The following is a 23,692-nucleotide window of genomic DNA, read 5'->3' as shown; positions in this document are numbered from 1 at the left end:
GGTAGCTGCGGAGGGTTGGGGTGGCTGTGGCAACTTCTTAAAATAATGCAATGAAGTTTGCCACATCGAGTGACTCTTCCTTTCACAAAATATTTTTGTATCATGCAACGTTGTCTGACAGCATTTTACCCACAGTAGAGCTTCTTTCAAAATTGGAGTTAATCTTCTGAAACCCTGCTGCTTATCAGTTTAAGTTTATGGAATATTCTAAATCCTTTGTTGTCATTTGAACAACGTTCACAGCATCTTCACCAGGAGTAGATTCCCCCTCAAGATACCACTTTCTTTGTTCATCCATAAGAAGTAGCTCTTCATCTGTTCCAGTTTTATCCTGAGATTGAAGCAATTCAGTCACATCTTCAGGCTCCACTTCTAGTTCTAGTTTTATTGCTATGTCTACCACATCTCCAGTTACTTCTTCCACTGAAGTCTTGAACGCCTCAAAGTCATATATGAGGGTTTTAATCAACTTCTTCCAAACTCCTCTTAATGTTGATATATTTTGACCTCCTTCCGTGCCCATGAATGTTCTCAATGGCATCTAGAATGGTGAATCCTTTCCAGGTTTTCAATTTACTTTGCCCAGTTCCATCAGAGGAATCACTATCTATGGAAGATACAGCCTTATGAAATGTATTTCTCAAATAAGACTTAAAAGCCAAAATTACTCCTTTATCCATGGGCTGCAGAATAGATCTTGTGTTAGCAGGCAAAGCTCTTGGGTAACCAGGTGCATTATTAATGAGCAGTGAGATTTTGAAAGTAATCTTTTTTTCTGAGTCATAGGTCTCAACAGTGGACTTAAAATATTCACTAACCATGCTGTGAACAGATGTGCTGTCAGCCAGGCCTTGTTGTTCCATTGATAGAACACAGGCAAAGTCAATTTAGATATTTCTTAAGGGCCCTAGGATCTTTGGAATGGCAAATGAGCATTACCTCCAACTTAAAGTCAGTAGCTGGAGCCGGGCATAGTGGCTTACAGCACTTTGGGAGGCTGAGGGAGGTGGAGCATTTGAGCTCAGGAGTTTGAGACCAGCCTGGGCAACATGGTAAAACCCTGTCTCTACAAAAAATACAAAAATTAGCTGGGCATGGTGGTGTGTGCCTGTAGCCCCAGCTACTTGGGAGGCTAAGGTGGGAGGATTGCTTGAGGATCACTTGAGGCTGCAGTGAGCCGTGATCGCACCACTGCACTTCAGCCTGAGCAACACATTGAGACCCTGTGTCAAAAAATAAAAAATAAAAATAAAAAGTCAGCAGTTGCATTAGCCCCTAACAAGAGTCAGCCTGTCCTTTGAAGCCAGGCAGGGACTTCTCCTCTTTAGCTAGAAAAGTTCTATGTGGCATATTCTTCTAATAGAAGGCTTTCTTTTGGTCTACACTGAAAATCTGTTTAGTGTAGCCACCTTCATCAATCAGATCTTCTAGATAAATTGCTGCAGCTTCTACAGCGGCACTTGCTGCTTCACTTGGCACTTTCATGTGACGGAGATGGCTTCTTTCCTTAAACCTCATGAACCAAACTCTGCTAGCCTCAAACTTTTTAAATGAAGCTTCCTCATTTCTCTCAGCCTTCATAGAAATGAAGAATTAGGGCCTTGCTCTGGATAGGCTTTTGCTTAAAGGAATGCTGTGGCTGGTTTGATCTCTTATCCAGACCACTCAAACTTTCTACTTATCAGCAATAAGGCAGTTTCACTTTCTTTTCATGCCTGTGTTCAAGGGAGGAGGACTTTTAATTTCCTTCAAGAACTTTTTCTGTGCATTTATAACTTGGCTAACTGGAACAATAGGTCTAGCTTTCTGCCTATCTCAGCTTTCAAGATGCCTTCCTCACTAAGCTTAATCATTTCTAGCGTTTGATTTAAAGTGAGAGATATGTGACTCTTCCCTTCATTTGAACACTTAGAGGCCATTGTAGGGTTATTTATTGGCCTAATTTTAATATTGCTGTGTCTTAGGGAGTAGGGAGGCCCAAGGAGAGGGAGAGAGATGATCAGCCAGTCAGTGGAGCAGTCAACATATACATTGAATTGGCTGTCTTATAAGGGTGCAGTTTGCGGCACCCCCAAAATAATACAATAGTGACATCACAGATCACCGTAACATATTTAATGGAAAAGTCTGAAATATTTCAAAAATTACCGAAATGTGACAGAGACACCAAGTGAACACATGCTCTTAGAAAAAATGGTGCCACTAGACTTGCTCAATGCAGGGTTGAGCAACAAACCTTTATTAAAAAAAAATACAGTGCCTGTAAAGTGCAATAAATTGAAGTATAAAACGAGGTACGCATGTATTTTTCTTGCTTTTCTCTCGTGGTTGCAGAATATGCTGCCACAGCTCCAAACATGTCTGGCTTACTGGAGGATGTCCAAGGCAAGAAGGAAAAAACTTGTCCTTAGTCTGTCAGGATAAAATCCTTCCCCTGAAGCTCCTCATCCCCCACTCCCCATTATGGACTGAGCAGAATTAGGTCATATTTTTAGCCCCTTAACCAGTTATTGGTTAACAAAGAGGGACAGAGTACAAAGAGGTTTAGACCAGTGGTTTTCAAAGATCTGCTGAACCTTGGGGCGGCAAGTTTCCAAGACCCTTCCAGGGAGTCTGCAAAGTCAAAACTATTTTTGTTATAATACTAAGATATTATTTGCCTTTTTCCCTCTCATTATGAGTGCACAGTAGAGTTTTCCAGACGCTACCTGAAATAGCACAACAGATCGAATGCACAAACAGATATGAAAATCCAAATGCCTTCTATTAAGCAAGACATTAAAGATATGGGCAAAATTTTAAAGTAACACCATTCTTTTAACTAATTTTTTGAAAATAGTTATTTTTAATTAAAATGCGCTATTTGACATTTTTATTTTTATTCATTATTATTTTAAAAAATAGCAATTTTTAAATTTCTGTTTTAATATTAATAGCTGTAACCAACATAAAGAAAAGTTCTTGGGGCTCTCAATAATTTTACAAGTGGAAAGCGGTCTTGAGACCAAAAGATTGAGACCGCTGGTTTATTCAGGCAGATCTTATTCCTTTCCCGGGGTTGCTGAGGTCAGAGCTAAACTTCCCAGAGCTCAACTAAGCTTGGTTCAAACCTTTTAAAAATGTAACTGTTAATGGTAACGCCACCTGGGCTCAACAGCAGCTAGACGGGCCTCTGATTGCTTGGCCAAAGGAAAAGAGGAGGATTTCGTTGGGCCCTGAAGTTGTCACCGTGGCGTGCTTCTTCTGGCCCTGATCTTTCATCCAGGATTGGGGATACGTGCATGCAAACTGGGAGGTGGACATTCCTCCCGCTCTTGTTTTTCAGTGTTAGCATCTTCACTCATACTGTTTTGGTTTCAAAGTGCTCTCAGGAGTCTCCTTAAAACACCAAACCTGTTTTTCGCCTTTTGAATAAATCCCTTGGCTTCACCAAAACTAAACAAAACAAAAATCAAAGAACATCTTTGTGTAACCTATATGCCTGTGATTTCTCCATCTGATCTCCTTTCTCTGGCCTCTTTTCTTTTCTTCCCCAGTGAATTTTAGGCTGCCATGAAACCAGGGAGGAGACAGCCTGACCCTGGCCACGGGTGCAGCAGGCATACATTTTCATCGCACATACTTTGTCGAGTGGGTGTAAGACATTTTTGCATAAACTGAGTTCACGAATGCTATTTCTTAGTCTTTCCTTTGCCCGCGGTCTTCTGCCCAGATCCATTTCTTCGCCCTAATTTTACATATAACTTTCTCCCGGCTGGATTGTTTGCATCCACGACTCCCGACGCTTGAACCTCCCGTTCCTTGGACCTGACCTAATTCTAGGTGCCCGCAGTTTATTTCTCCACTTTGGCAAACGCACGTGGCTCTCCTGGAAGCTTCACTTTTGCTGCTAGGCTGGGTGTTGGGGTTCAGTGGGGCTCGGAAAACGTGCTCTAAAGTAGCCACGACCCCGGTCCCTGCAGAGTCCCGGCCCCCACAGAGCCCCGGCCCCGGACGCTGCAGGCGTCAGAAGGGGGCGGGGAGCAGAAAACGGCCGGGTGAATCACTGGGCGTAACAGGTGCCGCAGCCGCAGCTGCGCCCGCAGCGCGCGCGGACCGCAGGGATAAGGTCTTCTTTTTCTCCGGGTTTTTTTGGAGGTAAGGAGGAGACTACCGAGGCCCCCACCCGACCAATGCAGGCCACGGTTGTTCATCGCCTAGCAACTGGCGGAGCCAATGGGAGGCGGCGGGGCCTGCGGCGCCGGCGCGCGGGGGCGGGGTGGGAACCTCGGAAACCTGCGGAGGCCGGGAGGCGGCTGCAAGGGGCGGGGAAGGCGGGAGCCCGCAGCGGAGGAGGGGCCGCGGGCGGGAGGCGCTGCGAGGCGCTGCTGGCCCTCGGGCTGCGGGAGCCGGGCTAGGACGCCGAGCGGTGACTCCCCGCCGCTCCCGGGGGCCGTGACGGTGAGCAGCAGCGCCTCGCGTCGGGGATTGTGACGCGCCCCGCCAGGGAGGGGCGGGCGGGGGTGGGCGCCGGCAAGGGGCGGGCGCGCGCGGAGGTGAGAGCCGGCACCTGGCTCAGCGCCCCGTTGTTCGGCGGGAGGCTCCGCGCGGCTGTTGGGGCCGTTGCAGGGTGCGGGCGAGCGTCGACCCGGGCCGCTCCTGGAGGAGGAGGTGGGAGGTAGGTGCTGGCCCCGGGACCGCTCTCGCTGGCGTTCGCGGAGCTGCGCCTGCGGAGCGCTCTGACCCGGGGAGCCCCAAACCCTCTCTGGGATGGAGCAAGGTTGGCGCCCGGCGTTGGGGGACGAGCAGCGCGGGGACGTGGGGGAGGAGGGGATGGCCGATTTGGGGCTGCAGAGTCTCAGCAGCGGCCGTGGGGCATGCGGGGTTTGGCGATTTGCTAGTGCAGCCGCAAGAGGCAGTCTTTAAAACGAGTTATTGGGTGGCCGCTGCAGTGGAAGAGAACCCCGATAGTGGTCTAGTAAAAAGTCTAGGGGAAGAATTTACATCATCCAAGAGGCAGGCATGTGTGAAAATACTTTGGTTTATAATTTTATCATGAAAATACTTTGGTTTAGAATTTTATAGTCAACGACAGTAAACTGAATTGTGAGCTCCCTGCACATTTTTTGAGCCTATGCTGATTGCCCAGTTAGGCATATCGCTTGGGCCCAGGACATAGAATATACTAATTTGCTGTCTGCACGTATAATGTAGGAATTTTTAGATTATTACCCAGTTTCAGGACCCATAGTTGTAAATGCCAAACTGCGATTACTAGCAACGCTGATAAAGTTCTTGAATCTGAGAGAATTGAGATTTCTCTTTTCTGGACGCTGTAATAGGTTGAGGATTAGAAAAGAAGGTGATTTAGAAGTGTAAGGGTGGAGGCTTCTTGAACTTCCTGGGCTTTCTAACAATTCAGATTAGAGTCAAGGTGTAGAGTTAGCTGTGGGTGATGGATGTCATGGACCTTTTCATGGTTCATGGGGGTTTGGCTTACTGTGGGGTAGAAGAAAATTCTGGTGATCCTACAGTTTGATCCTGAACTAGAAAGGTTGGTATGAGTTGACTCATTTAGGAGAGTGAATAAAATTTGTAAAGAATTAGAAATTTGGAGAGGAAAGAAATGCCTTTAAAGTTCACGTCAAGCTATTTTGAAATTTAGAAGTTAGAGGTAGATTTATGAATTTGGATCCAGTCGGCAAAACTTGATCCATCAGATCTCTTATCCTAAAACTATCAACCTACAGGCTTAGGAAGCTTAGGTTATTCATTCACACTAAACAAGTAAGGAAAGCTAATAGCTAATTTAACACTCTGTTCTGCCTGCTGTTAATGAAGGTTTCTCAAACAAAACGGTTCTTTGAGAAGAGGGTTAGGAACTGATAATTAAAACGAAGGCTCTTTTAGTGACTGGCTGAACCTCTTAGGCCAAGTCATTTTGTACTCTTCCTTCCCTTCTCTTTCCCCAACTGTACAGGGAAGATAAAAAGCTCATGGATTACGTAACATGGGTGAGGCAGCTTGAAGATAACTGTGAAGACTTAGTTATTCTAGGATGAAATGTGGAGATCTCATAACACATTGTGCCTTGTGACAAGACTTGTTAAAGCACATTATGTTCTAAACATAATGAGGCAGATATATGAGAAAACTAAAATGTTACGCTGAAATTGTTTGCTAAAGACCTCAAGTCCAGCACAGTGTCCAATTGTATACTTGGGATCTCCTAGTACTTGACAGTCTGCTTTTTGGCCAAAGCAGGCCGTGACACCGGTTTTATAAAGTAGGCGTTTGAGTGCCTTTTATGTAGTATACCCCTAGAGAAATTAGGTGCATGAAAAGACACCGCCCCCAAATTGTGTGATTTTAATTCATTTAACATGCTTAAATTGGATCGATTTCAAAGATTTTTAAGTTATTTTTTCCATATCTTTTACAATAGCTGTGAATATGCCTTACTGGTTTCACCATTTGCTCATGACGCAAAGAGGTTTTGATACGATGTGGGTTTGTTTTGTGGCTTTGGTAATGGTGATATGGTTAGCTAGTAGTGAAGGTACAAGTTATCTTGAATTCACGAGTTTATGGGATGAGATAGAATAGAGAAATGCACCATTCATTAGTAGTAATGAAAAACATCCTAGAATTGTGCCTTTTGATTGTGGGCCAATGTTTTATGTAGTACCAGCAGATTTACTGAATTATTCTTTAGTAATTCTTTCAATAAACATTCATTAAACGCTTAGTAAGCTGCTACTTGCCTGACCTGAGGATAAAAAGATGAGTGTTGCCTTGAGGAATTTGTATTTTAGAAATTATCAGCATAGTGAGGCAGGAAGCAAAAAAACCTCACAAAAAACAAATATAGGAAGGCTTTCAAAAAGAAGGAGAATTTCAGCTGTGTCTGGTAGAGGCAGTGGAGTTCATCAAGCAGCTGGTGCATTCTGCAGCAGTGTACAGTTGAGTTACAGGTGGCTTGGTAGAGTTGGACCAGGGTGGGGTTGCCATATTAATAAGGCTGTAGAACAGTGCTGTGAACATTGACCAGTAGGTTACAGGGAACCTTCAGAAGGTTTTATGAAGGGGAATTATATTTTATTTTTACTTTAGAAGGATATTTCCACCAAAATCAGTAATTTGAGTGATCCAAAATGTATTGAGTATAGTGCAAATAATATCTGAAAGACAGTCCCACACAGCAGTTAGACTTGAAGTATATTTTGCTGAAGCCCTCAGAAACTCCAGAAAAGCAGAAATAATTATACAACAAACCTTTCTTAAGTATCTTCTACTTTGAAGACTGGAAGAATAGGGATACAAATTAAATAAGATACTTCCCCATTTTCAAGCAACCTGCAGTTCAGTAGGAGAAATAACACAGTTATAATGCAGTACAGAATCTGGGTGTCAGACATAAAAATGTCAGACTCTAGCAATGTAGGATTCTGAGATGAGAGAAGAAATAGTCTTTCAAATTAGCAAAAATAAGTTTTTAAATAGAAATGAAACTACAAGCAGTTAAACATTCAGAACAATCTTAACTCCAGTTGTTCTCATCTTTTAACTCTTGCTTCACACATATCCTTTTCTCATATTCTCTTGAGTCACATTTTCGGTTTGATCTACCACACTACTAGCTATGTGATCTTGTGCCCTGGTTGTCGCATTTATGAAGGATAATAACAATACCTGCTTCGTAGGGGTGTGATTAGAAAAATAGGTTAGTATCCAGAACAATGCCTGGAAAAATAGCTCATACTTACTGAGCACTTAATATTTCTACTTGATATAAAAATGCTGTAATTGAGTAAGAACAGACTTTAAAGACAGGATTTTTTTTTTGTCATGCTAGATCTATCCATGAGCGTCTAATAAAGCCTCTACATTCAGAGAAACTAACATTCTTTTAAACTGAGATTCTTGAACAAGTGATTTTCCTTTTCTTATTTGGTGATCATCTTTCTGAAGTCTGATTTTCATTTTTACCCCTCAGCTTTGTCATTAAGTCACTAATCACCGAATTCAACACTTTTTAAAATTCAAAACCTGCCCATTCTATGGCATTTGCTGCTGTGTATCACCCTTTCTCTTTAAAAGTCTTCTCCCTTGGCTTTCCTGAAGTCCGTTCCCCTGTCTCTTTGTATCTCTTGTGTCTGGGTCTGCTTCACTCGCTTATGTTGATGTTCTTTGGGGTTTGTTCTCCTGCCCCTTTTTTCTTTATGAATTCATCTATCTAAATGTGCTCGGATGTCTTGTGAGTTCTAGGCCTAGAGTTTATCCCCATGTGAATGTCTCATAAGGGCATCTCCAAACCCAGTAAGCTACACAAAGCTCATTATCTCCACACATTTGCCCAAACCCAGTTTTACTAACTTTACTCCTCTGTTCCCTTTATCTAAATGACACTATTATCTGTCAAGTGCCAAAGACAGGTTTTTATGTGAGAGAGTAGATGCCTCCCTTTTGTGTACTTGTCACCATGTCCTGAATTATTTCTTACCTGTTCTTCACTATCCTCAGTCACTGACTAAGTCAGCCAGCTGGTCCCTGACCATTAATTGCCCAGTTTACTATAATATCTGTCTCAAAGATTTTTTTTTCAGATTATAAAAGTATTGTATGCTTTTTGTAAAAAAATTTTAAAAATTAAGATAAAAAGCAAAAAAGTATTTAAGTTACTTCATGTGTAGTTCTTGGCATACAGTCAGCACTGAGAATATATTTTTGTGCCACGGTGCTACAAATAGAACTTATTTTGCAAGCATTAAGTTTGGAGGAGATTTGTAGAGAAATATTGTTCTAAAAGAATTGTAGGACTAAATAATTTTGAAATCGTATATAGAGCCTAAATAGTGTAAAGTAGATACTTAAAATTCAAGATGGGTTCCAGCCACTGCCTATACTTTTCATTTGCCTGTTAATTGTAATCTGGTTGTGCTTTCCTATCTATTTTATTCTCTATTCTATAGCCTTCGATTTTATTTTCTATTCTATAGCCAAATTTCAGGAATATCCCCCTGCATAGGATCTAGACTATAAAAGCAAGCCAACATCATAGAAATAATCTGTAAGTACAACCCATCATTAGCCATGTTGTTTTATAATGAGGCGATAGGCTCAGAGAATTGATATCATTTGCTCAGCATATTTGTTGAATGTCAGGAGGAAACCAGGCCTGTGAGGCTTTGGAATCATAAATAGCTAGTTTTTAGTCTTTCCAGGTTAAATAGCTGGATTTTATTTCTGTCTTCCAGGTTTGTAACTGTAAGTTACCTAATCTGTTGCCTCAGTTTCTTCCATCAATAAACCAGTGCTATCTTTACTCCTTCCTAGGGCTAGCGTGAGGATTAAGTGATAACAGCTAATGGAGCCCCATCTGGCATGCATTAGGTGCTCTTGAGTTCATCATCAGCTTCTCTCCTACCAGTTTCACATAATTAGCTAGTACAGGAGTTATTAACTTGCCATCCATGGATCCTTTGCAAATGGATGGCTTCATAGATCCTCTGAAACTCTAGCCCAAATTGCCTGTTCTTGTACTTTTAAAGGAAGAGGGTCATTGGCTTTGGGTTTTGGGACCCAAAACATTTTAACCCCTGAGTTGGCAGTAAGGCCAAGGACCCAGGGCTCTTGGTGCCTCCACAGCCAAACTGACTGGGTAGAATTTAGAATTGTTTGAAATATTGGAGGAACATTTTATATATATGTATTTAAAGCATTTTAAAGGACTTCAGGTGTAAAGAATTAGTTTATATTCCTTGGCTCATGACACGTTTGTTTAATTGGTCCATTTATAGTTTTAATAATACAGTAAGTACCACCTAACCCTGTGCATAACCCTGTGGGCCCCTCCATTCCTTTTTCCTCTGTCCCTCACCTGAGGCAGCTATTTACTGAATCCTATATTCATCATTCTCTCGGTGTCTTTTATAGTTTTATTGCATCACATAATTTAAAACTGTATATATTACATGCCCTATCTTCTGAAAATTTTTTCATTTTATAATACTGAAATTTATATTATGTGTCACTGAAGTTTTCTGATTACTGCATAATATTCCATTTTGTGCATATGGCATAATTTATCCATTCTCCTGTTGGTGGTATATGGGTTGTTTCCAGGGTGATACTCTTGTGCTACTCGCTATTGTGAAGAATGCTGCTGTATAGGTGCACACCTCCTGGCATACGTAGGCAAGAGTTTCGATTGGGTTTCACTAGGAGTGGACTTGCTGGGCTGTAGAGTATGTGAATAGGATAAATGAATATTCAGCTGATGAACTGTTTATTTTTCAGAGTTTCCCCCCATCCTCTAAGGTTTAATAAGCTGCTTAGCCAGGCATTCCCTAGGACTGTTATTTTCAGCCTCCATTTAGTGCTTTGGAACACTTTTACATCATTCTTGGAATCCATTTTGTAGGACCCTTAGATAAGAATTCCTTTTTGGTGTTCTCTAATTGAAAGTGCATATAAATAGAATACTAATTTATACTGAACCACATTCTATAGAACACAGCAGTGATTCTCAAACTTTGTCAGAATTACGTGGAGGTTCTCCCACCACTAAAGTTTCTGAATCTGTAGGTCTGTAGTGGCACTTGATAATTTGCATTTTTATTGAGTCAGGTGATGTTGATGCTGCTGGTCCCAGGACCACACGTTGACAACTATAACCAATGATTGAATTTGGGCTAAATCATTGAAAAAACGATGAGTAGATTTATTAATTATGTTTGGTTTCTTTGTTATTTCCAATGCCTTTAGTAGATGCTATTACCATTTCATTATTTGAGGAGTGAAATACCAATAAATAGTAATTTTAAAATTTGATTTGGACTTCTTAGCTGACTTTTAACCTTAAAAGTTGATAGACTTCTAAAAGTGCCTCTTTTTTTTCTTGTTTCTTAATAATCTTCTAAGAATATGATTGCTGCTATTCCTGTGTGTACATTGGAAGAATTTGAAACTGATACACTGTTTGTAAATTGCCATGCTCTTGATTCATACCCTGAATCACCTTTCTCCTTCTCTGAGCTGTTACCAATCAAGATTACGTTGAAAGCCCTTCCAAATTGCAGCATGGCCAAAGTGTTGACTTGTCTATCATACTAAAACAGCAGCAAACCTTACACTAATACATCCTTGAACTTGGACATTCATTCAGCAATCTTGACTGGGCTCCAACCTTGGAGTGAGTGATGATGCCTGTTACCGAAGTGGGGTACAAAGAATATGCTGACAAGCCTGCCAAATGAGAACTCAGTTGTGGTGGGAGAGAAATTTTATTCCTGTTAGATCTGTGCTGTAATACAGTTCATGTTAAGTGTTCTAGAAGCACAGAGAGAAGGGATGGCAGTGCAGGGAAAGCCTGGCAATATATTTGCTAGGTTTTTCAAAATTTTTTTGAATTGCTACATCCAGAATTTAATATTTTGTCTGCTTTTGTGTAGTTCCCATTCCAGTTATTCAATTGGCATAATTATTTGATTATAATTTAGTTTCAGGTGAGGTGGTAAAGAAGAGAATACTTGTTCGGTTTGAAAAAGCAGCTTGAGGGGAGGAAGAGCATTAGGACAAATAACTAATGCATGCGGGGCTTAAAACCTAGATGACGGATTGATAGGTGCAGCAAACCTGCACGTTCTGCACATGTATCCCAAAACTTAAAAAAAAAAAAAGCAGCTTGAATATTGTATCCTTCCCCCTCTCCTGTACTAAAGATAGTAGGGTGTAATGTTAAATGTGCTAGACTACCAGGGTTTGAATTTTGGCTTTGTCATGTTCCAGCTCTGTATCCTAGGTCAAGAAAACTCCAGGCTTCAGTTTCCTTATCTGTAATGGGGGAAAGTATTTGGATCATTGTAAGATTGAATAAGTTCGTACACATAAAATGCTTAGAATTGTTCCAAGTAATTGCTACATGCTTAATAAATTATTTTATTGTTATTAAAATTAGGTAGAATCTCATTTGCTAAACATTGGGTTGTAAAGACAATGTGTGCACATTGTTATAAAAATGTGAAGAAAAGGCAGTGCGTGATGGCTCACACCTGTAATCCCAGCATTTTGGAGGCCAAGGTGGGAGGATCACGAGGTCAGGAATTCGAGACCAGTCTGGCCAACATGGTGAAACCCCATCTCTACTAAAAATACAAAAATTAGCAGGTGCGGTGGCATGCGCCTGTAGTCCCAGCTACTCGGGAGGTCAAGGCAGGAGAATTGCTTGAACCCAGGAAGCAGAGGTTGCAGTGAGCTGAGATCACACCCCACTGCACTCCAGCCTGGGCAACAGAGCAAGACTCCGTCTCAAAAAAAAAAAAAAAAGTGAAGACAAAATAATTTTGATATAAATAGCTGTACTCAGTTCCATATTGGGTCCTATGAGAAATGTAAAAATCAAAAGATAATAGAACTTGAAATTCTTTAAAGGTCATCTAGTTTGACTTCATAATTGAAACCCAAAGAAATTATGACCGGTTCAAGGTTTCTCAGTACATAACAGAAGTGTTGCTGAGAACCATGGCCTCTGATGCTACTCAGTCCAGCGCTCTCTCAGTACCCTGTGCAGCTTCCCTGAAGTGACAGCGCCCTGGAAAACTAACAGTTTAATTGGCAGCCAAGTCCAAAACAGGTGAAAACATTAGCAATAAAAAGTCAGTATATAATGGAATATCAGATGGTGTACATAGATTAAGTCCCTACCGTATTTAACTTTGTGAGCTGCTCTCTTGAAGCGGAAATGCACCTTCTTAGTAATTTCATTCATTGAAGGTTGAAAGATGAAGAGCATTTGTTTTTGAAGAGGGTGTTAATAAAGTCAATTTCCCTCTTTCCTCCTACCAAGGTTGGATTGTTCATTAAGCCAGGGGGAGAGTCCACTTTTGCCAGGTCTGCCAGTACTCCATGGCTTTGCCCTTGATGATAGTTGGGGAAAAGTCTGGCCTCTGTATTTCTGTTCCCTGTCTTCCTGATGGGCCAGATTCCCACAGACATTCCCTCAGGTATGAAGACTGCATTACCCTTGCTCATGGGTATGCGTACATATGTGGAACAGGTGCTAGAAGTGTACCTGATTGGTGGGATTTGTCTAAGTCGAGATTTCCACTCAAGGACAGGGCTGCTACTTTTTGGGATTGAGCTAAGAGTACTTTCACACATTATCTCATTTAATTGTGCTTGAATACTCTGCTGCTAAAAATTTTACAGAATAATACATGCTCCTATAACATTCAAGCTATATAAAGATATGCTATGGAAGAGGTGAAAGCCCTGCTCTTCTACCCCTCCCTGTACCCAAATTATTCCATCCCAAGAAGTGTCATTTGTGACATTTTGTAACTTTTCCAGAACTTTCCCCTAAATATATATAGGTAGTTTGAGTTAACAAAAAATGGTGATCATACTGTTCTAATTAACCTGTAACTTCTTTTTTTGTGCTATACATGCATATGTGCTTTAATCTTTAATAATCCCAGAATAGCCTGGCTGTACCATATGTGTTGGTTTTTAACAGTTTGTCCATGATGGATATTAAGATTGTCTCTAGTTTTTTGCCATTTCAAATAATACTGCAATTCAACAATGTCCTCAATATATATTATGCTTGCTCTCTTATATGCCTAGAAGTATGATTGTTTAGTGGAAAGATTTACACATTTCAAATATTTGTATACTGTTGGAATTGCCCTTTAAAACAACAAACTACTGATCTCTGGTAAAGTGCTATTTCCCTTACATAATTGACTATCTTAAAAAACTGTAGGACATTTGTATAATTTTCTAACCAGTTTTTGCCCAACAAGACTGCTTGCTGTTTTATTTTATGCATTTTTTATCACTCATGCCATTCTACCATTGGTTTTGGTGGTTCAGAATGGTGCTGTTTATCCCCATTTCCTGTGCTTATCATCACCATAATTGCCTTTTAAAAACATAAATTTTTTTTCTTAATATGAAAAACACTTTCATTTATAGAAAATTTGGAAGACACAATAAAATAAAAGTTATATTTTTGTGCATGAAAGTACATAAAGAAAGGAATGAAAGTCCTGCCCTTGCCTTTTCCCTATTTTTTAAGTTGGTTTTTCCTTGCAATTTTTTCTGTCCTTATACCAACTTTTGTGTTTATAGAGCAGAATTTATGCCTGTACATATCTACTGATATTTGTTTTTTTTTCCTGAGGACTAAATAAGCTCATATTAGATATGGTTTTGTAACTTTTTTACATTACTTAACAAAATATCATGGAAGTCTTTCCAAGAGTAAAATAGCTAATAATAGCTAGCATTTATTGAGCACTTACCATGTACCCATGACCTTTTTTTAAGCCCTCTACATGCATAAGTTTATTTAATAAAATTATTAAAGAAATTTGGTAACTAAATTTACTGTTTAACCACATAATTTTTTGAGGTAAACTGCTTTTACTCTCCTTTTGCAGATGAGGAAAGTGAGGCCCAAAGAAGATTTATGTTCAGGACCATTTAGTCTGTAAGTGGAGAAGCCGGGGTTTGGAACCAGATGGTCTGGCTTTGGATTTTAACTCTTTTACTGTACTGTTTCTCATACTGCAGCAATGATCAGTTCAAAGATATATAAGGAATTTAAAGAACAGCATGTAGCTCCCTGCTTTCTAAGCTGAGGATGGCTTTCTAATGGCAGATTTTGGCCAGGAGCTTCATTGAGATTATATCCCTCAACCCAGAGATACACATGAATTATTGTACCATAATTTATGTGTTCACACTATTTTATGCAGTCTGAGCCCAACTGGGAGATAGATTGAGTTCTGTTTTTTCTGGTTCTTAAAGGAGTAGTCGTAGGAGATGCTGCTTCCTGAGCCCCTCACCCACTGAAGCAACAATATGTGATGGTTAAGAGAATGGGCTCTGCAGTCCAATGTGGGGTTGGGGGGTTGGAATCCTGCCTCTGCCACTTGCTAGCTCTGTGACCTTGGGCAAATTACCTAACCTCTCTGCCTCAATTTCCTTACCTGTAAAAAGGAAAAAATAACAGTGTTGTTGTGAAGATTGACTTAATTACATACGTAAAGCATTTAGAATAGCTCCTGGCACATGTGTTATTAAACCAGTACCCTATGTCCTAGTTATAGTGTACTTAGTTTTCCACCTCTTACTCTGTTAAATATCCACAACCTTAAGAAGTAGATTATCATCACCCCATTTTAAGGTGAGGAAACCATCTTGAAGAGAGCATCTTGGAAATAAGTGTCTTCGTCAAGATATGAATCAGTCTGTTGACCCGGGCCTCTGAGGCTGGCATTGTTTGCACTGTACTTTCCAACTATAAATCCTCTATTGGCCACAAAACATCAGGAAGGCACATTATTAATATCAGTTTTTGAGTTTGCACCATTCATGTGTATTTAAATTTATGAGGAAGAGTTTATTTCTGTGGAAAATATCTGGAAAATGGCACCACTCAGAAGAAATAATTTAGATTTTAAATTCATAAAGAGTAGATTTTCTAAGAGGTTGGACTTAATGTGTTTCTGTACTGATGTGCGCATCTGAACAATTTTAAGGTGCAGAGATATTTCTAATGGAATTCAAAGCTACGGTCTCCTTTATAACAAAATCATAGTTGAAGGTGGTATTACAGTTTTAAATAATTGTAATATATCTAGTTTTTAAGAGTCAATACTGATGACTAAATTGTTAAGTTTTAGGACTGAATTTGTAAAATAGGACTAATGTTAAGTGACTTAGTTTTATCTTCTTAACCCAACACTTAGTTTTATCTTCTTAACCCAACAGTGTGGTAACTCTAACTTTGTGAGATTTTAGCAAAGACTTCAGTTAGCTCTATTTGTGAAAAATTCTGTGCAATATTTAGAAGCCCAGATGGTGTAAAGTTACCATGTCCCTCTATAATGGAAAGCTATTATTTTCTGTCGACTGAAATTGTTTTAGAATTCTGAGTAGGTAGGCAATTGTACCTTCTCAAGTTTGACTTTCAAGTGACCTTGAAAAGAACACTTAAAGTACTGTACTTTGTGAGGGAAATCTTGTAATCAGAATACTGTGTTTCTGCAGAGCTCTCTTTCAGTTTGTAGTTGCAGAGATTTGGGGGTGAAGAGGACAAGACAAATGGGAATTGAGAGTAATTCTTTTCTGTAAAGGATTGACTCTTCTTTTGCTACTTTTCCATTGCTCTTTTCCTTTCTCCACCTCTACCTGCCAGAATGAACATGTTAATTTGTTATCAGTTATTTGAGTATTCATTGATTATGCCATCCTTTAAGCTTAGTGGGAGGGAGGGGATACAGAAATGTAAAATGTGTGGTACTTGAGAGTGTGGTTGGGAAAGATGAAACAAACCAATAAGTATATGGAGGGCTTAGAGATTGAGCTTTGTGGGCTGGAGTAGTTGGAGAAGGTTATGTGATGGGGATGGCGGTTGTGCACTGTTTTGTAAAAGCATTAGTTTTGAAATACGTGCAAGAAGGAAGCACAGGTGGAGGCACAGAGGCTGAAGTGAGTGTGCCACAAGTGGGACTCGGTTCATATTGTAAACATTTACTGAGCACCTGCTATGTTTCAGGTACTGTTGGCTGCAAAGATGCAGACATTCCCTGCCCTCTAGAAGTTCATAAACTAGTCGGGAAGACATCTAACCATAATACTATAGAATGATTAATTGTAATACTGGATGATATCATTGTTAAAAACCTGATCAGTGGCATTTGTAGTGTATGGCATCATTTTTAGTTATGTTTCAGTAAATTATGGTTTAAGTTTTAGAAGGGACTCCGAAATTTCTCAAGAAATTTATGTATATTTAATATACATACTTAAAAACTTGTATGAGTTATCTGTTGCTTCATAACAAATTACTCCGAAATTTAGCAGCTTTAACAGCCAGCTTAGAACAGATGAGTCAGGAATCTGAGCACAGCTTAGCTGGGTGCTCTGGCTCAGGGTGTCTGACTAGGCTGTCAAGGTGTTGGACAGGGCTGCAGTCATCTCAGGGTTTGAATGAGGTAAAATCTAGTTCTAAACTCACTTGTATGGCTTTTGGCAGGCCTCAGATCCTGCTGACCTCAGACGTCAGTTCCTTGCCACACGGACCTCTCATAGAGTTGCTTACAACGTGATGGCTTGTTTTCCCCAGGAGGAGGGATTTAAGAGGGCAACAAGTAAAAAAACAACCTTAAATGGAAGCCACAGCCTTTTTATAACCTAATTTTGGAAGTGAAATCCCTTCACTTCTGCTATATTCTGTTTGTTGGAAGCTAGTCAATAAATCTAGCCCATACTCAAGGAACAGAATAACCCAAGAGCGTGTCCACCAGAAGGCAGAAATAACTGAGAGCCATCCTAGAGACTGCTTACCTAAAGTTCTACAAGGTATTGTTGTGTATTGAGAACCTCTTCGTCTTTGGGGTAGAAGGAAAAAGATGAGCTAGCCAACGAACTTTACTGATGGAAAAAACAGATGTGATTAACCAGAAAAAACAAGATGTTTTTGCTAAAGGTCTATAAAGTTAGTTTCAATATTGTGTTGATATTTACGATAGAGAAGTATAAACAAGAACAAAGCTATTGTTTGTGGCCAAGCAGAGACCAATTTTACAAGTATGCCTCAACTTAATTAGTATATAAGTTCCAGTGAGAATTGTATGCTCTGAATGGACTCATTTTAAGTGGATTATAAGAACACAATCTTCTAAATAAACAGTGGAAATCATTTTGATTATATTCTATTTTCAGTTGGATGTGCATGCACGATAGAGATTTATGTGTACAAAGTTGAAAGGTTGAATAGTGATAGAATGAAAAGAGCACAGAGTTGACTGGGCATGGTGGCTCACGCCTATAATCCCAGCACTTTGGAAGTCCGAGGCGGGCAGATGACTTGAAGTCAGGAGTTCAAGACCAGCCTGGCCAACATGGTGAAACACCATCTCTACTAAAAATACAAAAATTAGCTAGGCATCCGCCTGTAATCCCAGCTACTCAGAAGGCTGAGGCAGGAGAATCGCTTGAACCCGGGAGGCTGAGATAGCATTGAGCTGAGATTGCGCCACTGTACTCCAGCCTGGGTGACAGAGCGAGACTCCGTTTCAAAAAAAAAAAAAAAAAAAAAGGAAAAGAGCACAGAGTCTTGAAATCAGATTTGTTTCCTGGCTTCACAACCAATTAGAAATGTGACCTTGGGCAAACCTGTTGATCTCTCTGAGCACTAGTTCCTGTCTATAATACAGAAAGCAAAAGAGAAAACACTTGGACATGAGGAATGATAGATTTAAGCTCTGCATGATTTTACCCAGAAAAGACCAGAGTTCCCTTTCTTATTTTATACCTGAAGTGTATGGCATTGGTACTTTGCAACCCATAGTGACATATAGGGAAGACAGTGTACTAATACTTAAAAAGTACTTACTACTTCAAAAGTAGTAAGGTAAAGCTTTTACTAAAAGTATTATAAGATTTTCTATTACAGTATAAAGACATTGATTGGAATCTATGTTGAGAAGTACTTTGAACAAGGAAGTTTATTAGATGGCTATATACGTGTTACCTACCGCTAATGAACAAAACTATGTCTCTTATTTATGGATTACTTTATACTTTTGCTTTGATGTATTTCAGGTTTGTTCCCTGACAATCTTAAATGAATGAAATGCCTTTTACAAGATATTTTAATTATTTAATGTTCAAGGTTTGCTCATAAAATTCACTCATGAATTTGATCCATCTTGGAATTTGGGTAGCTGTATCTTGGAATTTAGAAAGCTTATTTTGCCAAGGTTAAAGACACATCTGTGACACAGCCTCAGGAGGACCTGACGACATGTGTCCAAGGTGGTTGGGGCACAGCTTGGTTTTATACATTTTAGGGAGACATGAGACATCAGTCAGTATGTGTAAGATGTACATTAATTGGTTCAGTCTGGAAAGGCGGGACAACTTGAAGTGGAAGGGAAAGGGGGGCAGGGGCTTCCAGGACCCAGGTAGATGAGTTGAAAGGTTGCATTCTTTTGGGTCTTTGATCAGCCTTTCACTGAATACGCAATTTACATGTGAGAGGGAAGTAGAGGAATAGCCACTTAGACCTTAGTCTGGTTCATTGAATCTGCATTTTTACGTAAATAATAGGGCATAGGAAGCAATCAGATGTGCATTTGTCTCAGGTAAGCAGAGGGATAACTTTGAGTTCTGTCCTTTGTCCCACACGTTGGAAAATAAGCTATCAGCTTACACTGCAAGAGTGAAATCCAACAGAACTGTTTTAGGGTAAAAACCTTGAGGCCCACAAGGAATTTTGGACAAATGTAGCTTTTTAATCTTTGTAGCTATTTTATTTAGGAATAAAATGGGAGGCTGGTTTGCCTGATGCAGTTCCCAGCTTGACTTTTCCCTTTGGCTTAGTGATTTCAGGGTCCCAAGACTTACTTGCCTTTCACATACTCTAACCAATCATATTAATAGATAGAATTTTAGGTTACACATTACTTGAACTAAAACATGAATCACTGCTTACTTTTTTCTCCTAAGGTAACTATGGTAACAGTGCTAGAAAACTAAGTTTGTTCTCATCCAGTTGTGAGGAATAATCATGTCCACTATACAATGGCTTACTATTATTTGATTAATCTATAATATGAACGTGTGTTCCTGCACTGACTTTGTAATGGAGTCCTTCTTGGTTGCATTTGATGCTTTCAAATTGAAATGGGCTTGTGATGGTATTATATTTATGCAAAACAGATATGGTTCTGTTACCTTTTTCTTTTGCTTTTGAAATTAACATTGAATTAGCTTAACATCTTCATAAAAAATGCTTTGCAACCTTCAGCAAGGCAGTTTTAGCTATATTTGAGCTGAAATACAATAATATGCTTAAATTCACTGCTTAGTTTAGGGTATGTATTGATAAAGAGTCGTAAGTCCCCTTTCTTGGAAAAACTGGTCGGGTAACTTTTCTTATATCGCAAGTCTCCTAGCATGTAATTGGTACATCATTGAACAGAAGAGCATTCATGGAAGCTTTTAGATTGTGTGAAATCATATACTGTTAGTTAAGTTTTTTGTTTCATAGGACTTCAAAATGGGGTTTTGGTTTTCATTGTAAACATTTTACAAAGTTTGTTGGTATTAATAGGGCAGGGAACAATTCACTGTCTAATCTATAGACAGGAGAGCCAAATTCGCAGAGAGAATAACTGACTTACAGTTTTAAAGAATGGATATATAATAGACACATTTTGGTGTTCTTTCTGTATAAGGAGAAAAGACACTTAAGGCACTATTGTCTTACTTACAAATACCTTAACAAGAACACAAATTGGAAAGGTGCCTATTACTGTTTTCTTCTGACCTTGTTTTTTCCCCCCAACCAGTTGATTATGAAATTAGCTCACTGCTTACTGTGTTTTTATAAAGATATCTGTCTCTAGATCATTTAAGAATATGTGTTCAACCTTTATTAAGAGCAGCGGTACATTTTGTTATAGGTTTTAGAAGCCTGTCATTTATACCAAATAGCCCTGTGTCTAGATAATAATGATGATGATGATTAATATTAGCTTATGTGTGTCTTCTATGCCAAGCAGTGTGCTAAATACTTTATGACTTATCTCTTGGGATAAGTACATTATACCTTATCTCTTGGGAAACTTAGGAGGTATGCTTCATTGTTACGGTAATTTATCAGAGAGGTATGGCTCAGAGAGGTTAAGGAATTTACCCAAAGCAGAGTTCTATTAGAATAGGTTTATTGTCCCTTGGATTCTGTTTTACTTATAGTGATTATCTCAGAAAGCTAGAAGTAAAATCAGTGTCTTTCTTAGTTGGTACAGTCTTTATCCTTCTCATCCTGTTGCTAATACCCATTTAAGGACAGTGGGAAGAACAAAATAGTTCAAGGTGCCCTTCCTTACCAAGCACATGAGTAGAAAAGTGGCAAAAGACCATTGCCAGACTGAATTACCTCCTGTGTCTGTGTGTGTGTGTAACATCATAACATGTAATATGACATGTAACATCATCTGTCTTAGTATATATTATATGCTTCTCTACAACTTAGAAATCATCCTTGATTTCTTTTTTGCCCACATTTCAATCCATCTTTGAGTTCTGAAGGTTCTGTCTCCAGAACACATCCCTAATTCATCTGCCTGTTTCTGCTTCCACTGTTAGAACTGTAGTTTAACACTGGTCATCTTGCCTGAACTATTGTAGTAGCCTCCTGATTTCTTCCAGCTTCTACAATTGCCTACCTATAGTCTACTCACAGAGTAGCCACAGTAATCTTTCTTAAAGCATAAAAGAGAACATGCTACTTTCCTACCTACAAGAAACACATCAATAGATTTTCATTGCAGTTTAGAGGAAATCCGACTTCCTACGCTGTAGCCTTGCTTACTGTGCTTCAAATATACTGGCCTTCTCTCTGTTTTTCATCGTTAACACATTAATATCCATCATAAGTCTTTGTATCTGCTGTTTCCTTTACCTGGGCTGCTCTGGTCATTGATTTTCTTGCGGCTGACTCCGTATCATTTAGGTTTCACTTCAGATGTCACCGTTTCAGTGGAGGTTTTCTCACTGATCTAGATGCTCCCTACCTTAATACTCTCTCATATTACCATGTTTTATTTTCTTTTTAGTTATCACTCTGTTAAGTTGTTGCTCATTTGTTTAGTATTTATTTCTATCTCCATCAGAATATGAACTTCACTTCTTGAGAACATGGCCTCCCCTGTGCCTAGGAAAACGTAGTAGCACATAGTAGGAGCTCAATTAGTATTTATTGGATGAATATAAATTTCTTTTTTCTTTTTGAGATGGGGTCTCTGTCGCCCAGGCTGGAGTGCAGTGGCACGATCTCAGCTCAGTGTAACCTTGCCTCCCGGGTTCAAGGGATTCTTCTGCCTCAGCCTCTTGAGTAGCTGGGATTACAGGCGCATGCCACCACGCCGGCTAAGTTTTGTATTTTCAGTAGAGACGGGGGTTTCGCCATGTTGGCCAGACTGGTCTCAAACTCCTGACCTCAAGTGATCCACCCACCTCAGCCACCCAAAGTGCTGTGATTACAGGCATGAGCCACTGCAGCCAGACTAAATTTTCATTTAACACTATATTTTGAATATTTTACCACAGTCTTAAATATTCAGAACTGTGGTTGTGAACTCTTGATCCACAGTCCAGATCTGGCCTAAAGACACATTTTATTTGGCTTATTACATAGTGCTGTTGTTTGAGGTATAACTTACAGTCAAGTGCACAGATCTTAAGTGTACAACTTGATGAACTGATCTTGTGTGTACCAGTATAACCACATCTCAGATCAAGATGTAAAAAGTTTTGGCACCCCAGACTCACTCATTTCCTTCTCTAGCCACTCCCCTTTCCCACAGGATAACTTAATACATAGAGTTTTTTTTTTTTTTAATTAGCTACTAGCATTTTAAAATTGGGAGACTTCACATAAAAATTCAGAGTTCCAGTATCTCATAAAAACATCAAAGATCAACACAACCGCTTTCCCCTTGACCACAATTTATTGTAGCCGAGAAGCAGCTGTCCACAGTATTGACATGTGTTCCCCAGGCTGCCTGCAGTCTTCACCCTTCCTCCTCTTCCCCCTGACCTTGAAATCAATTGCCAGTTGCCACTTACAATTTCATTTGAATTGTTTTTCTTATGATGGAGAAATATTTATCTCTTCCATTGTCTCTATAAAAAAGTGAAAACATAAATGAAAACAGAAAAGGTGTCTTATACTTAGTCCATACCATTCATTTGTAGTTTTGGCTGTTTGTTTGCCATCCTAATTCCACACAGTTACGTTTAAATGCTGTATAAATATATTGTTTATTTACTCATTCTTCTATGGAAACATAAACACATTATTTTTGTTCTTTTGATATTGTAAATAACATTTTAGATTATCTTTGTACACAGCATTTTATTAGGATAATATTTTTGAAGTAGATTTTCTGGATCAAAATATATTTTAAGACTTGAAACATATTGTCAGCTTTCTTGGTAGTAGTGTAAATTGCTATAATCTGGAGGGAGTATATGGAAGTTTCATTTCTCTACATCTTTGCCAACACTGGGAATTGTAATTTACAAGTTTTGCCAATATAGTTGGTAAAAACAAACAAAAATGAAAATGCTGGCCAAGAAGAAGTTTTTCATCATCTTATCTATATAATTGTATTTTATTTTAGAGGATATAATATAGAAATATTACTTAGTACAATGCTATACCTTAGATGTATGTTGAGTCAAATCGTGTACCATGTATCTTGTATATAAAGTAATATGAATACCTCAGTAGAACTTGGGAAGCCTTTAACCTTGATCCTTACATATTATTTATATTTCTATGTATATACACACACCATGTTCTATATCTGTGCATGGGAATAGGTATTGCAAAATCCTTCTGTTTTGAAGCACATACAACTAATTCTTAAGCATTGGGTTTATATTGGCTTTCATATTTTAAATTAGATGCTATTATTCTATAATCTGCTTTTTAAGGAGATGCCTACATAGAAGAGTGACAGCAGCTAGACTAAATGTTTAACTGCTGAACTAGTTCCTCAGGTATCCTGGCTCTAGAGATTGCTATGGGAGATTGGATGACTGTTACAGATCCAGGTCTGTCTTCAGGTAATTAAGTCTAAATAATTGTAAACAAAAGCAGAAACTGTAAAGGTGAATTTTTCAA

At 39.3% G+C, this 23,692-nt stretch overlaps 1 protein-coding gene across 36 annotated transcripts in view, besides 1 other annotated feature; it reads left to right on the top strand.

Moving 5' to 3' along the window:
- Positions 4,066-23,692, top strand: part of SSX2IP (SSX family member 2 interacting protein) — a 47,040-nt gene continuing 27,413 nt past the window's right edge. For 5 of the 36 annotated variants that reach the window (XM_047444263.1, XM_024453015.2, XM_047444256.1 and 2 more), the window contains exons 1-3: positions 4,350-4,440; positions 14,424-14,473; positions 23,503-23,634. In XM_047444263.1, coding sequence (XP_047300219.1) covers positions 23,592-23,634 — 43 coding nt within the window. In that variant the 5' untranslated portion in view covers positions 4,350-4,440; positions 14,424-14,473; positions 23,503-23,591. Of the gene's footprint in view, positions 4,138-4,349; positions 4,760-12,343; positions 12,614-12,826; positions 12,984-14,423; positions 14,474-23,502; positions 23,635-23,692 lie in introns of those variants that run through there. The other 31 variants (XM_047444262.1, XM_017000235.3, XM_047444254.1 and 28 more) reach the window with 13 other exon arrangements.
- Positions 4,139-4,898: a silencer, noted in NCBI's record as "silent region_1024". NCBI's record gives its function as "represses an Ori minimal core promoter by ATAC-STARR-seq in GM12878 lymphoblastoid cells {active_cell/tissue: GM12878}" and the evidence as "EXISTENCE:reporter gene assay evidence [ECO:0000049][PMID:35858748]".

Source organism: Homo sapiens, chromosome 1 (assembly GCF_000001405.40).
Source record: "Homo sapiens chromosome 1, GRCh38.p14 Primary Assembly".
NCBI lineage: Eukaryota > Metazoa > Chordata > Mammalia > Primates > Hominidae > Homo > Homo sapiens.
The sequence above is the reverse complement of the archived record's forward strand: the minus strand, read 5'-3'. Positions and strand labels throughout refer to the sequence as shown.